The sequence below is a fragment of the Homo sapiens genome, chromosome 8, assembly GCF_000001405.40.
Source record: "Homo sapiens chromosome 8, GRCh38.p14 Primary Assembly".
NCBI lineage: Eukaryota > Metazoa > Chordata > Mammalia > Primates > Hominidae > Homo > Homo sapiens.
In genome coordinates this window covers 81,539,596-81,553,535 of record NC_000008.11, presented here as the reverse complement: position 1 = coordinate 81,553,535, position 13,940 = coordinate 81,539,596, and the positions used below count along the sequence as shown (strand labels likewise).

The 13,940-nt window shown below is 39.1% G+C and overlaps 1 protein-coding gene and 1 long non-coding RNA gene across 3 annotated transcripts in view; one reads left to right on the top strand and one right to left on the bottom strand.

Annotated features, from left to right (window-relative positions):
- LOC101927118 (uncharacterized) overlaps nucleotides 1-13,940 on the bottom strand; it is a 117,987-nt gene that overhangs the window by 25,909 nt on the left and 78,138 nt on the right. The window lies entirely within an intron of this gene.
- Nucleotides 1-13,940, top strand: part of FABP12 (fatty acid binding protein 12) — a 65,159-nt gene that overhangs the window by 36,604 nt on the left and 14,615 nt on the right. Inside the window, exon 2 of the mRNA XM_011517577.3 lies at nucleotides 13,793-13,918. The gene's annotated coding sequence lies outside the window, so the exon portion shown is untranslated. The remainder of the gene's footprint in view (nucleotides 1-13,792; nucleotides 13,919-13,940) is intronic.

Here is a 13,940-nt window from a genome sequence, read left to right as displayed (position 1 = left end):
ATAATTCTGCTCTGCAGAAAAAAATGATAATAATTACCATTAAATTGGATGTCTGTGACTATGACTTTACCATATCAAGTGAAAATATAGTATAAATTGGTACAATAGCACTGTGAAAATATAGTATAAATTGATACAATAGCACTGTGTCCAAAATCTTCGTTAGGTTGAAAACAAGATTTAAGGTAGCAAATGAAGAAGTGATCACCCAGCCATACATTTTAGACACCAAGGGATTTTGAGAAATTATAGATATTAATGTTCTCTCTTCTTGAGTCAAGGTTAATAAAATAAGAGCTCCTGGAAGAGATAGGTCTAGTGGCATATTATGAAGAAGGTGCAAAATAGGTATCTGGAGAAAGAGAGAAATCCCTTCTTCTCTAGGTCTCTTAAATGTTAGTGTTCCTTGGGGTGCATCTTAGATATTCCTCTGTTTTTCCTCTGCATACCTTACATAGCCATCTCCACCATGGTCACATTAAATGTTCCATTGATAAAATAAAAATTACATTAAAGATTCACAAATCCCTAGCCCCGAACTTTCTCCTGAGTTCTCACTCCCTACTTCACATTTCCATGTTTCAAAGTTTTGTCAAACAAAACATATCTAAAACATGACTGGTCCCATTGTTCCCCCTGGACATCCCCTTTTTTTCCTTCCTCTCTCAGTAAATGGAACCACTAGCTTCTCAGTTTCCCAAGCCCAAAACTTGGATAATATTCTCAATCCATTCTTCTAAGTTACCTACTATATCCAATCAATTCTTCAAATATTCATCATCTTCTACTGTGTGCCAGGCCCTGGTCAAAGCATTTGAGATTTATCAGTGAAAAAAATAGACCCAAAAAAGCTACTTTCCTCTGTGGAATTTAAATGAAGCATTGGTGCCCCTGATTCTTCTTAAATCTCTCACAAATTCATCCAGTGTTCTTTACCTCATTGTCATTACCCTACTTCCAAGCATTCTCCACTCTTATTTCCTCTGACAGTCTAACAAGTCTCCTTTCATCCTGCCTCCAACTCTCTTGCCATCCAGTAGCCTGAGTGAACATGTTAAAATCCAAATCTGATCAAATCACTCCCCAGTGTAAATCTCTTCAACAGCTGCCAACACCCTAGGGTACCATTTAATCTCTTTTAAGCATTTGTGACCTGACCCTTCTTCCTTAAGTGTTTCCTGTTGTAACACTTCCTGCTTTGGCACTACCTGCTCCTACTATACTGAACTTCTTCCAACTGCCCTAAAGGACCTTGCTCTGTTTCTCACACCCTGTGCTTTTGTAATTGTTGTTATCTCCGCTTGGAATGTTCTTCCCCACTTTCTTCTTTTTCTCACTGTTCCTATTCATTCTTCAAGCTATTGCTTAAATGTCACTTTCTCAGGGAAGCCCTTTCTGTACCCCATAGATTGGTGAGCTGCTCCTGTGTTGAGTTTCCCTCGTACCCCACATCAGATCTCTGCTTGCATTAGTCACAGATTCCTGCTGTTGCTTGTTTGCTAGTCTGTGGTCCAAATTAGATGATAAGCATTGTATTACAAGGACCTCGTTTGCCTTGTTCTCTGCTACATCCTAGAAGCTAGCACAGTATGGGGCCCCGACTAGACCCTTAAATATTTATTACATGATTGAATGATTAATACATGAATGAATGAATGAATGAGATGAACACTTGGAGCAGCAGACACCCAGAACTATTAGGCCTCTCTAACATAGTGTTATCCCTATTGAAGTCACTAGGGGTCCAGCATGACACACACATCACTGTCTAGCCTTAAGAATCATTACTATAGTTTAAGTCTAGTTGAATTTGGATAGAAATTTTTCTCAGCATTCCAGATACTGTAATTTATGGTTACTGTAACTGCAAATTTTTGTTTTGGTTTAAGTGTCTCTTGAGCTAAATATACTTCAATATACATCCCCACTAGACTTTGTGTCACAAGATTCAGTCTTTAGATGCATTTCAAACCCACACATAGTTTTTCATATTGTACCCCAAACATTCCCTGCCTTAAGTCTTTTTATAAAACGAGTATTTCACCTCTGAAATGTATTAACCAATAATGATCAATAACATGTGATTAGCACAGAATGCTTCTTAACTTCTGAGAATACTGGGACCTCTCTTCCCAGAGTCAAAACACTGGTAGAGTGCAAAACTTTGAGAATAATAGGCAAGACTGTGACCAGAGAATATAGGTCACATTTAGAATGACAGTGACCTGAGGTTTGAGATCACTGTTGCCTGATGGTTTTAAATCATAGCTTCACATTAGAATCACTTAGAGAGCTTCTAAAAACACAGTTAAATCAAACCCATCAACATGTCTAGGGATGGACCTCAGGAGTCAGTATTTCAGCTCTCCAGGTGATCCTAAAGACCATTTCTGTAGCCCATAAGACAAATATATATAATGATTAAATAGCAGCCACTTGGACTTGCACATCCAGAAGGGAGATTTAATGTTATTATAGCAGAGAGTGCTCTGGTTGTCTCTATTTTTGCCCTATGGGGGAATCCATTTTCAACTCAGATACTATTTACCCACTCTGAAGGGAAATTAACCTTCCTCACAATTATGTAATAGAGTTGTCTGGCCATACAAATAAGAAAAGTAACCTCTTCTGGGATATTTAACAGCAGACATTTTATAAAGCATTTCAGAGAAAAGAATCATGTTATTCCTGACATTGATTGATACTAAGTTAACTGAGCTACTGCATGAATAGAACTTTATAATTTTCTGTGAGTAGAAATAAAGGTACCTAGGTTTGGTAATTTTTCTGACTCTCCAGACTAAGTGAGCTCCCTCTGTCATTTCTATATGTGCCTTTCAATAATTGTACTTTTAATAGAGCTTACATTGATTTGTGTGATTTTTAAAAAATTCCTTCCTTATTCCCCTACTTTACTGTAAGCTCTAGGAGTGGAAAGACTGTGTTTTCACTCACCATATCCTTACCCAACCTTGTTCTTAGTAGAGATTCGAACATACTCATGAAATGAAAGAGAGGAGAGGTTGGGGAAGTGAGGAAGGAGGAAAGCTTTAAACTACTTCACATCACATGTCTCCTGGAAAAGTATGTCTATTAGAATCTCCACTCATGAAAGTTCTGCTCCATGCAGTTTCTAGAAATCAAGCACCAACAAAGAAAACCTCAACATGTTTGCAAAGCCAATGCAGTTTCATCAGGTCACTGGGTCAGCATCATTTGGAACATTTTACCTTATTTACCTTTTCATTTTGAGACATCATTTAAAAATATTATAAGACTCTAATGAGAACAAGGTTGTATCTTTTGTCTTGATCAATATTGTATCCCCAGTAGCTGGCACTGTGTGGGATTTAAGGTAGGTACCCAATACATATTTCTTTAATAAATGCTGAATAGGATAAGTGGGTATATGAATGAATGGAGTAGCATTTCAACACAGCCTAGTATACACTGGAAAGAAAATGGACAGATTTGAGACAAATTCAGAAGAAAATCTTTACAGGTCTAGAACAGAGAAAATTCGCTTAACTCCATAGCTATAACAGAGTATAATAAGCATAGATAATTTCAGCAACATTTTTAAAGCAAATTCATATTCAGCAGCTTTTCCTATCTGTCTAGTGGCACTGGGGACAAAAGATGTATGTGAGCAAAAAGTTTTGAAAATGAAATTAGGAATGCAGGTTACAAAATTTCTAGTGTTCTTTGTTTAAATCATTTGAAGTCTAACCTGATTTATTTGTTTAAACACTAGGGACTTTTTCATGGTTACTGCATCAAAAAGTACAGATTTAACATCTCACAAAATGACAGCAGAACATGAGGTTAGTACCTCAAGGATTTGAAATCTCCAGCCTCATTCTTCAGTACCCTATTTCACTTCTATTGCACTTTATCCCTGTGAATATCTTAGTGGTTCCTTAGTATACCAATTAAGAAAACTCACAGTTCAGTGAACTTTTAAATCTTGCTCTATAAATTACATGTTTCTACGTAGCTGCTTCTCTTTCTGGGGTGCCAGTTTTAACAAGAAAAGAACAACTGGGATTGACCAACGCTATACACTGGTGTTTGCTCTGTCTGTGAGTGGCGAAGGCAACATCTGTACTCTGAAGTCTCCCTTGGTTTATTTGAAAACTTCCAGAATTACAATCAGATAAAGACCAAGCTCTTTACCGTGTCCATCAAGGCCTTCTGTTAATGTATTCTGTCATTTTTCTAATTTCTCCTTCTCTGTTAGGGATTTCCAGAGAAACAGAACCAACCAGGGTGTGTACGTGCATGTGTGTGTGTGTGTGTGTGTGTGTATGTGTGTCTGTGTAGAGGCGAAAGAGAGAGAGAGATTGAAAGAGATGAACTGGCTCACACTATCATGGAGGGTCAAGTCCAAAATCTTCAGGTGAAGCTGGCACTGGAGACCCAGGAAAGAATTGTAGTCTGAGTCCTACAGGCAGTTTGCTGACAACTCCTTGTTGTTTGGGAGAGGTCAGTGTTTGTTGTATCAAGATCCTCAACTGATTGGATGAGGCTCATCCTCATTATGGAGGGTAATCTGCTTTAGTCAACGTCTGTCTGTTTAAGTGTTAATCTCATGCAAAAAGTATTTTCACAGAAACATTCAGAATAATATTTGACCAAATATCAAGGCACTGTGGCCCAGCTACATTGACACACAAAATTAATCATCACATCTTCTATCTAAATTATGTAGATTTCCTTAACATTATCAGCCCCACCCCCACACCATACATGCTATACTCATTCTAGCCTTTCTTTGTCTCCCAGTAAAAACCACTTTCTTATCTGCCAAAAATGTCTTCAAAATTCTCTCCTGATGATTACCAGACTGTACTGTGTGTTGTAATCATCAGAACTAGCAAAGTATAGAGAGGCCCGACCTTGTGGGAGTAACACAGGGCCTGGGTATCTGCATTTTACCAAGTTTCATAAATGATTCTGATACATACCAAAGTCTGAGAAACATTTCTTTAGTCAAAGGTATATCCTACATTCAAGTGGCCCCTCGACATTCCCTTTATTTAAAAAGTTATACTTGCATGATCTCATCCCAATCCAAAAGTAATTTTTCCTTTTGTAAACTCCAACACTTTGAATACATCTCACACGATTTCAAATTTCCTTTTATATCCCCTTAAAATAGTTTTCTAAGTGTGTTCTATTTATATGCATTTCTGTACAATGTGTTTTGAGGGTAGTGACCTCAAAACATATGCAGCATACAGCATACAGCATAATCTAATACATGAAAAGATTCTCAGCCCTGGATTCACTTTAGAATCACTTGGTGGATTTTTGAAAATCCCTATGCTCAGGTTTCATTTCCAGAGCTTCTGATTTAATTACCAGGGGTGGACATTGGGCACCAGTATGTTTTAGAAGTTCTCCAGGTGATTCCAGTGTATTCTCAACCAGGACTGAGAATCACAGTTACTGTGAAAAGAGATGAGAGGAAGGAATCTTTGTCCTTTTGGTATCATGGTATATCTCTGGTACCCAGGGCAGTGCCAGATGTGTAGTAGGTCAAATATTTGATTGAATGGGTCAAATATTTGATCATTTTCTTTTCTGTATGAATTCTGTAAAAGTCCTTTCACTTCTCTAAGCCTCAGTTCACCATGTTTATAGAATGGGAATAACAATACCTATATCAATAATGATGGTATTGAAGAATAAATGAGATGACAAGTTATTTGTCACATAGCAGATGCTGATCAAAAGTGAACTCCCTTTCCTTCAAAAGTTGGTGTTCTCATCCTATTTCTGACACTGGCAGGAATTCTGTGGGCACAAAAACTTAATACACGTGAAATGTGTATTGAATGAATGAGTTATGAAAAATTAAATGATAGATACATTATCTGGGACTAAAACGTGATAATGTCTCATTTTAATTGTTGGCTTTGTGGATTCCACTGTCCCACTCCAGGGAAGAGATAAGACGGTAAATATTAATCACAGGATATGCTGCAATTATTTATGCTATATTTCTGTCAGTACCTGCTAAAAAGAAGAGCAGTTATAGTTTGTGTGAAATTTCTCTTATTAAAATGAAGGCATAGTAATTAAGAAACTGGAACGTGATCAAATGAACTCATTTGGTCCCAAACCTTACTTGCAATAACATGCTTAATTTTCATTGACTCTCAGAGACCTTAAAGGTCATTGTGTAATGCTAGGACTACATAGGGAAATGAAGAGAGGAGCACACTTTTGAATTGTCCATTCATTTGTCTGTGGTGTGTATGTGTGAACTCCACATTTGCCGGTGGTGTGCCTGTGTTCACACAAACACACAGTTTGGTGAAATGCAAACTTTGCAATACAAAATGTTGAATTAAACTTGGTCCCTGTGTCAGGACTCTGTGAGCTGGTGAAGGGCTACTTTTATTTCTAAATTGTCACTAGCTATTCAACTTCCGCTTTTCTTCTTCTCTCTAGCTGTAAGTGTGGGAACTTCTGACTTTTTTCCCTTTCTTTCTTCCTCATGTTACTCAGAAAATAAACATAAAAGGAACAAGTGAGTTTTTGCAAAGAACTCTTAGGAACCTGCTTGAGCAAGTAATAACAGCCTGAGGAAAAATGCTATATGCCAAGGGTCTAGCTTCAAACAAAACCTGGGTGTTCTGTGACTTGAGGTGGGCGTGTGAAGACAGGAGGCTCTCCATGTTGGGCTAATTTGATTCAGTAACAGTGAAGACGTCGAAACAAAATATGCAAGGGTTACCAGTTGACATTTTATCACAGAAGTTTTCTTGGATGAAAAAAACGACACAGGAAAATCTGTATGTGGGGCTACTATATACATTAAACCTTAAATTATATTTTGAAATTTTTATTTTATTTTATTTCATTTTATTTTGAGACGGAGTCTCGCTCTGTCACCCAGGCTGGAGTGCAGTGACACAATCCCAGCTCACTCCACCTCCCAGGTTGACGCCATTCTCCTGCCTCAGCCTTCCGAGTAGCTGGAACTATAGGCGCCCGCCACCACACCCAGCTACTTTTTTTTTTTTTTTTGTATTTTTAGTAGACACGGGGTTTCACCATGTTAGCCAGGATGGTCTACATCTCCTGACCTCGTGATCCACCCACCTCCGCCTCCCAAAGTGCTGGGATTACAGGCGGGAGCCACTGCGCCCAGCCATTTTGAAATTTATGACACAATAGTTAAGATTCCTATAATGAAAAGGCAGAAACTAAACTCTGGTGCTGCATTTACTGCATTAGTTTTGTAAAGAAAATAAAAATCACTTGTCATAAACAACACTTTCAGGTTTTCATCTCTTTTCTGAAATTGATTGGCAAGAAACAGATCACGTTATGACTGGCTTGATAACAGAGACATAAGCAAAAGCATTAGGCTACTTCTAAGAACCATTGTCATTCCAATAAATTATCTATATATACCCCCACTATGTATGGTAACTTTGCAGGGGACAGTGTATGATGAAGTCATTAATTGATGAAGGTGCAAAGCAAAAGCCCTAGGATACTCATGACATTTCAACCTTCCACTAAATTGTGAGATCTTGGTATCTTACTAATTGTGTATCCAGACTAAAGGAACAACTCCAGGGATGAGAGTGGGCTGCATTCAGGTAGAGAGTGGACCTATGACTTTCTAGAGAAGATTCCCAAGTGGATTGATTCGGCCCATGAACTTGAAGCTAGAGATAAGGAATATGTGGGGAGAATGAGTGACCCTGAATGAGTCTCTGGATTGAAAACATCCCTATAATATAGTCCTTTAAGTCCAAAAAACTTTTAAAACACTATTTGGAATCTTGTAAAATAGAAAACCAGTTTTCGAAGTAATTAGAAACAACTTTCTAACAACTCAGAAAAGAGAAATAATCGGGGTCATCCTTTTACATTGTGAGAGGTGACTGTTGAATGCATTTGGAGAAAAGTACATAAAATTAAGCAAGCCCTTATTGAAATAAAAAACAAAACTGCAGGATTATTTATATCCTTCATCCATTTTCAATGTATTTGACCACAAATCTTTTCAAAATGCTAGACTAATTCCAGCTCTTTCACTGGACTAATTTTTAATGAATTCATTTAAAAACACTCATTAATTGAAACTGATTAGTCTCTCAAACTCTAGTTGTCATTTTAATCAATCATCCACATAATGTAATCTTTCTGAAAGAGAAGTCCAATCATGTCCCTCTCTATTTGAAAAAATCCCCTTGTTTCCCAGTGACTCCCTTTAGTTTTCCAGATCTAGATTAGAATGGAGCACGAGGCCCTTTATGTTCTGCTGACAGTCCTAGTCTCTGCCACAACTTCTTGTTCACTTATGCCCAAGAGTTACCCAACCTCTAGTCGGGCATGGTGGCAGGTGCCTGTAATCTCAGCTATTTGGGAGGCTGAGGCAGGAGAATCGCTTGAACCCGAGAGGTGGAGGTTGCAGTGAGCCAAGACTGCACCATTGCACTCCAGCCTGGGCAACAAGAATGAAACTGTCCCAAAAAGAAAAAGAGTTACCCAACCTCTCAGTCTCCTAAACACTCTGTAAGTACTTCCTGGCCTCTACGCCATTGGCCATAAAATCTCTTCCTGGAATTACACAATATCATTTTAAAATCAGAGTTTCCACTCAGTAAACTCTTCTTTGATCCTGAAGAAAATTACTTTTACCTCTCACTGGGCTTCCATTATACTTAAGATATTTTTCTATTTTAGCACTTGAACAGGTCACTGCAGTTATTTTGATTACATACTTCTCTCTCCCACCAGACCTCATGAGGTCTGGGATTGGGTCTTATTCATCTTTGTATTTACTCTGGGAGAAAAGAGTGCCAAGTGCATTTGGAGAAAGGTATGTTACCCAAAATTAAGCAGGTCTTTTTTTTTTTCTTTTTAACTGCAGAACTTCTCATTGCCTGACTCATACAAAGATATTAAGAGACCTTGTTCCCCATAGTTCTCACAATTGATCACTCTCCCTCAGTAATAGATTGAATGGTCACCCTCAAAAAAATATGTCCACACTCTAATGGGAGAAACCTAGGGGTGTGATTTAAGCCCTAAATCTAATGACAAGTTTCCTTGTAAGAAATAAAAGAGGAGAAAGCAATGTTAAGATGGAGGCAGAGATTGGTGTGATCCAGCCACAAGCAGGGGAACCTGGAACCACCAGAAGCTGGAAAAGGCAAGGCCGAATTTTCCCCTAGAAACTTCAGAGGGAGCATGTCCCTGCCAACATCTCGTTTTCAGACTTCTACCCTCCAGAACGTCTAGAGTACCCTCCAGAGCTTCTAAAGAACACATTTCTGTTGCCATAAGCCACCCAGTTAACGTTAATTCGTTACAACAGCCCTAGGAATCTAATAAACTCCTCCCTTTTCAGTTGCCTCCATTATTTGTTATTCTGATGCCTCCTTATATGATAGTTTTCCCCATAGTTCTGTACCTGCTCCTCTTACTTTACACTGTAACCTAGAGTGAACTTACCTACTCCAGACCACCACGTATTTTTCTGATCCAGATCTTTATTTCCTGTGCTCTATATCTGTTTAGTCAACTTCCTGTTAGACACTGTAAATGTACTAACCTGTAGGTTGTTCAAAATACACTCATCTCTCTGTCTCTCTCTCTTTCCTATAAAACTCCTTTTGGATGGCCTATTTTCTGCCTGGTACCACTGGGAGGGCACTTTACAATAATTTCTGATATGAACTCTTAATCCTATCAGCATCACAAGTCCCTGTTGAACATATTTTTTAAGACAGAATTTATTCTTCTAACTATAGAACAATTTTAGATAAATTGAAATTATTGAAAAATAGAAAGAAAAACAACTTACTCCTAACCTCACCATCTAAGACAATCACCATTAACCATTGAGTGCACTTCATTCCAGCCATTTTGCTTTTTCATATTTGTGATCAGGGTATACATACTTTTATATACTTATAGGTTAATGAGAACATCTCACTTGTTTTCAGAATTGTCAGTGTTTGTTTTAGGCATCTCTGAAACATAACTTCTCATCAATTACCAATAATCTCCTAAATTAATTTTAAAATAGTGCTTGCTCATCATCTTCACTTTGACTTGAACCAGAGCCCAGGCGCTAAACTAGTTTTCCACCTTGTGTTCCTTTCCAGTAGAGCCATAATCATTAAAATAGCATGAGATGATGTAGTCTCTCATGAAAGCTACTCTACATTGCCCAAACCTGCTGAAGAATCATCATATGCAATTGTTTCTGGAATGTCATCATTCAGTTTAGATTTCACAGTTGATGTTAATATGGGAGGGATAAATTACTCACATACCGCCTAGCCTGAAGCTAATTAGTTTCGTAAGTACATGTATGATCACAAAGCCAGAGATGGAAGTGCTCTGCCTTCAATGACAATGTCTTTTACTACTGGATATTTCATTGTAATTTTTAGACTCCGAAGTGTGAAAATGTTAAGCTTAAAGGTCCTAAATTGGAGATTATATCAGAATATTTTATAAAGCTTTTGATAGAACAGTGGATTTTCTTCCCACAGTTTTCACTGAAGTCAACCCTTAGAGCACAGGTTGCCTTTTCCACAGCAGCAAGGGGCCAATGTTGTCAGGTAGTCTTTGTCCTCCACACCTCCCACCCCTGCCAGCTATCCTGACTCACCAAATTTTGCAACTGTTTTAATCACTGATGTTGTGAAAGATATTAATCTCATCTCTATTCTGCTCAAAATGTGGGAAAATCTTTTCTCAGTTCATCAGCAACAAGATTAGACCTTTTCAAAAGAGGAGATTAGAAATCAGACACATAAAAGTTAGAAATGGGTGCATGCGTAAATATGGATTAGTGACCCAATGGCTTGTCTGCAGATCACTGGCAACTTGAGTACACTCTGCACTCCCAGAGAGTTGCATATTGGTTATCCATGACCTATCCCTCACCTGTAGACTTGTGGGAATATCCAGCCCCATCCAGAGCTCATTTATGACTCAGAGAGATGTGGAATCCCATAAGCTTTTCCCTGTGTCCTCTCACCAGGTTGGTTCTAGCTTTCGGGTCCTTGTAGGGTTGCCTCAATTACCTCCAAGTCATTTGACTGCTGGTCTTCCTGTTCCCTTAAAAATCCCTGTGCCATGGTCCCATTCAGACCATATTTCCCAAAGATGATAGTTGCCAAGATGCCCCAAGGTGAGTGCCCAGTGTTACCCTATATAAAGCAAGAACCCCCCCAGGCTCCCTTATGACAGACTGGGTCAGGAACATTTTTAAGGAGTAAGTTCTCCTGATTTTTAAGAGTAAGTTCTCCTGATGTTTAACTTTCAGCATTTCACTTCGTTCCCTTTCCTCAAGAGAAGGAGGTCAAGGCCAGTAGCTCCCGGGAAGTTTCCCTTTTCTCCATTCTGGCTGGGATTTTATAACAATACTCCATCAGCAAATTGTCTTTACAGAGTCAGTAGGTTCTTGTTTTTGAGACTTCACTGACACAAAAGTAAAGAAAGTCTGGCCCTAGAGGAAGTTGTTTACCTTTCTAGTTTTATTCCCAGGCCTCTAGTGGCTCCTAGACATTACCTCTAGGCTCAGATCCTGTTGAAAGATTTTCTTTGTCTTTTTTTTTTTTTTTTTTTTTTTTTTTTTTTAAACCCTGGGACTCCTGGAAGTCCAGTCCTATTTGTTGAGCTGTTGATTGGGAAGTATTTCTACACGCTGTCCTATTTCTGGATACTTCCAAGTCATGGTCGGATCTGACAAGTAAAGCACAACATCTGAGGTTATAGTAACAATAGATAGAAATCCAAGTATCGTCAGCATGGGAGACACATGGAGACTTCTAGAAGGCAGTACTTAAAATACCAGGCAGGTTGACTGTCAGCAAGAGGGAAGCCTTTGGCAGGTAGCAGGTCCACAGGCACAGAGTAAGGGATCAAAGGCAAAACTCCATTCAGTTAAAAAAGAAAAAACCTTGCAAACACAAGATATGGTCTGAGCCTCATCAGGGGTGTTACCATGCAAGGACTGAGGCCAGGGGAATTGCTCAGAAACTTAGCAGTCAGAATTAGTTTGCAAATTGAGCGTGGGGGTCTCAAAAGTACACAGATGCTCAATAATCGAAACTGATATGTATTTCAGGTCCAGACAAGATTGAGCTAATGTTAATTCCCAGGCTGATGGTAAACAACAGGGCTTCTCAAATTTTATTGTATGTTTAAACAATTCACCAAAGAAATCTTTTGAAAAATGCATGTTTTTGATTCAGTAAATCTGGAGTTGGTTCTGATCATCTGCAATGCTAACAAGCTTCCAGGTGATGCAGATACTGCATATCTGTGATACACGCTTTGTGTGTGTGTCTTTTTATATTTGTTGATTTTTTTTTTTTTTTTTGAGACAGAGTCTCACTCTGTCAACCAGGCTGCAGTGCAGTGGCGTGATCTCGGCTCACTGCAACCTCCACCTCCCGGGTTCAAGCAGTTCTCTACCTCAGCCTCCCAAGTAGCTGGGATTACAGGCACCCACCACCAAACCTGGCTAATTTTTTGTATTTTTAGTAGAGATGAGGTTTCACTATCTTGGCCAGACTGGTCTTGAACTCCTGACCTCGTGATCCACCCGCCTCGGCCTCCCAAAGTGCTGGGATTACAGGTGTGAGCCACCGTGCCTGGCCTTGATTTGTTTTTAAATGTTGAAATAATTTTTGGTTTACAGAGAAGTTGCAAATACAGTACAGAGCTCCCACATACCCTTCATCCTGCTTCCCCTAATGTTAACATCTAACGTGTATATTTTTCAAAACCAATAAATGAACATTGCTACAATACTAGCAACTAAACTATAGACTTTATTTGGATTTCTCCATTTGTTCTACTAATGTTTCTTTCTGTTCCAGGATCCAATTTGGGATCCCACATTGCATTTGGTCATCATGTTTCCTTAGTTTCCACAGATCTGTGACAATTTCCCAGGTTTTCCTTGTGATTCATGACCTTGACAGTTTGAAGAGTATTTTGTAGAATATCCCTCAATTTTGTCTTCATATATCTGAGATTACATGAAGATTAAATTTGGGTTATGAGTGTTTAGGAAGACCACAGAAGTGAAATGCCTTCTCATTGCATCCTAGCAGAGGGTACATGACAGCATGACTTTACACTGGGGATATTAAACTTGATCCTGTGGTTAATGTGATATTTACCAGTTTGCTGAAGTTACTATTTTTCCCTTTTCACACTCTGTTCTTTGGAAGTGAGTCTAAGTGTGGTCAATGGTTCTCATATTTGAGCATGCATCAGAATCACTTGGAGGACTTATAAAAACTATGCTCTTTTTTCAGTTTCTGATTCAGCAGGCCTGGGGCTGGGGCCAAGAATGTGCATTTCTAAAAAGTTCTTTGGTGATGGTGATGCCGCCTAGTCCAAAGCCCACACTTTGAGAACTACTGGTCTAGAACATTTGTCCTTAGTTGCTGAGCCTTAGACTTCAGTCAGAATTGCCTGGGAATAATTTTAGAAATATATATTCCCAGGCTTTGTCCTTGGCAATTCTGACCTATGCCGGCTCATAGGAGTTGGCATTTTTACAAATGCAAGTCAGGCTTGAGAACCATGAGGTTACTGCTACTCTGCAATAATCTGATTAAAGCGTAATTGGCCGAGAGCCTGGGGGCAAGTGCTCAGGCAGCAGGTGGGGTCCCAACAGCTCCAGCTGTAAGAAGCAAAGGGTGGGAGAGCCTGGGAACCCAGCAGGGTCTGAATCATAGGCCTTCAGGCTGCCTGGGTCTGACCTTGCTGTCTTTATTCATCCCTCCAGGAATTCCGTGTATTATTTTGATTTGTCTGAATCACATGATTGCTCAGAAGCAGACAGCACCAGCAAGCCAGCACTCAACCCTAAGAGCAGCCTTCAGTGAGCAGTCTGCTGAAATTCTAAAACAGAGTAAGGCATCGCATAGCATGCT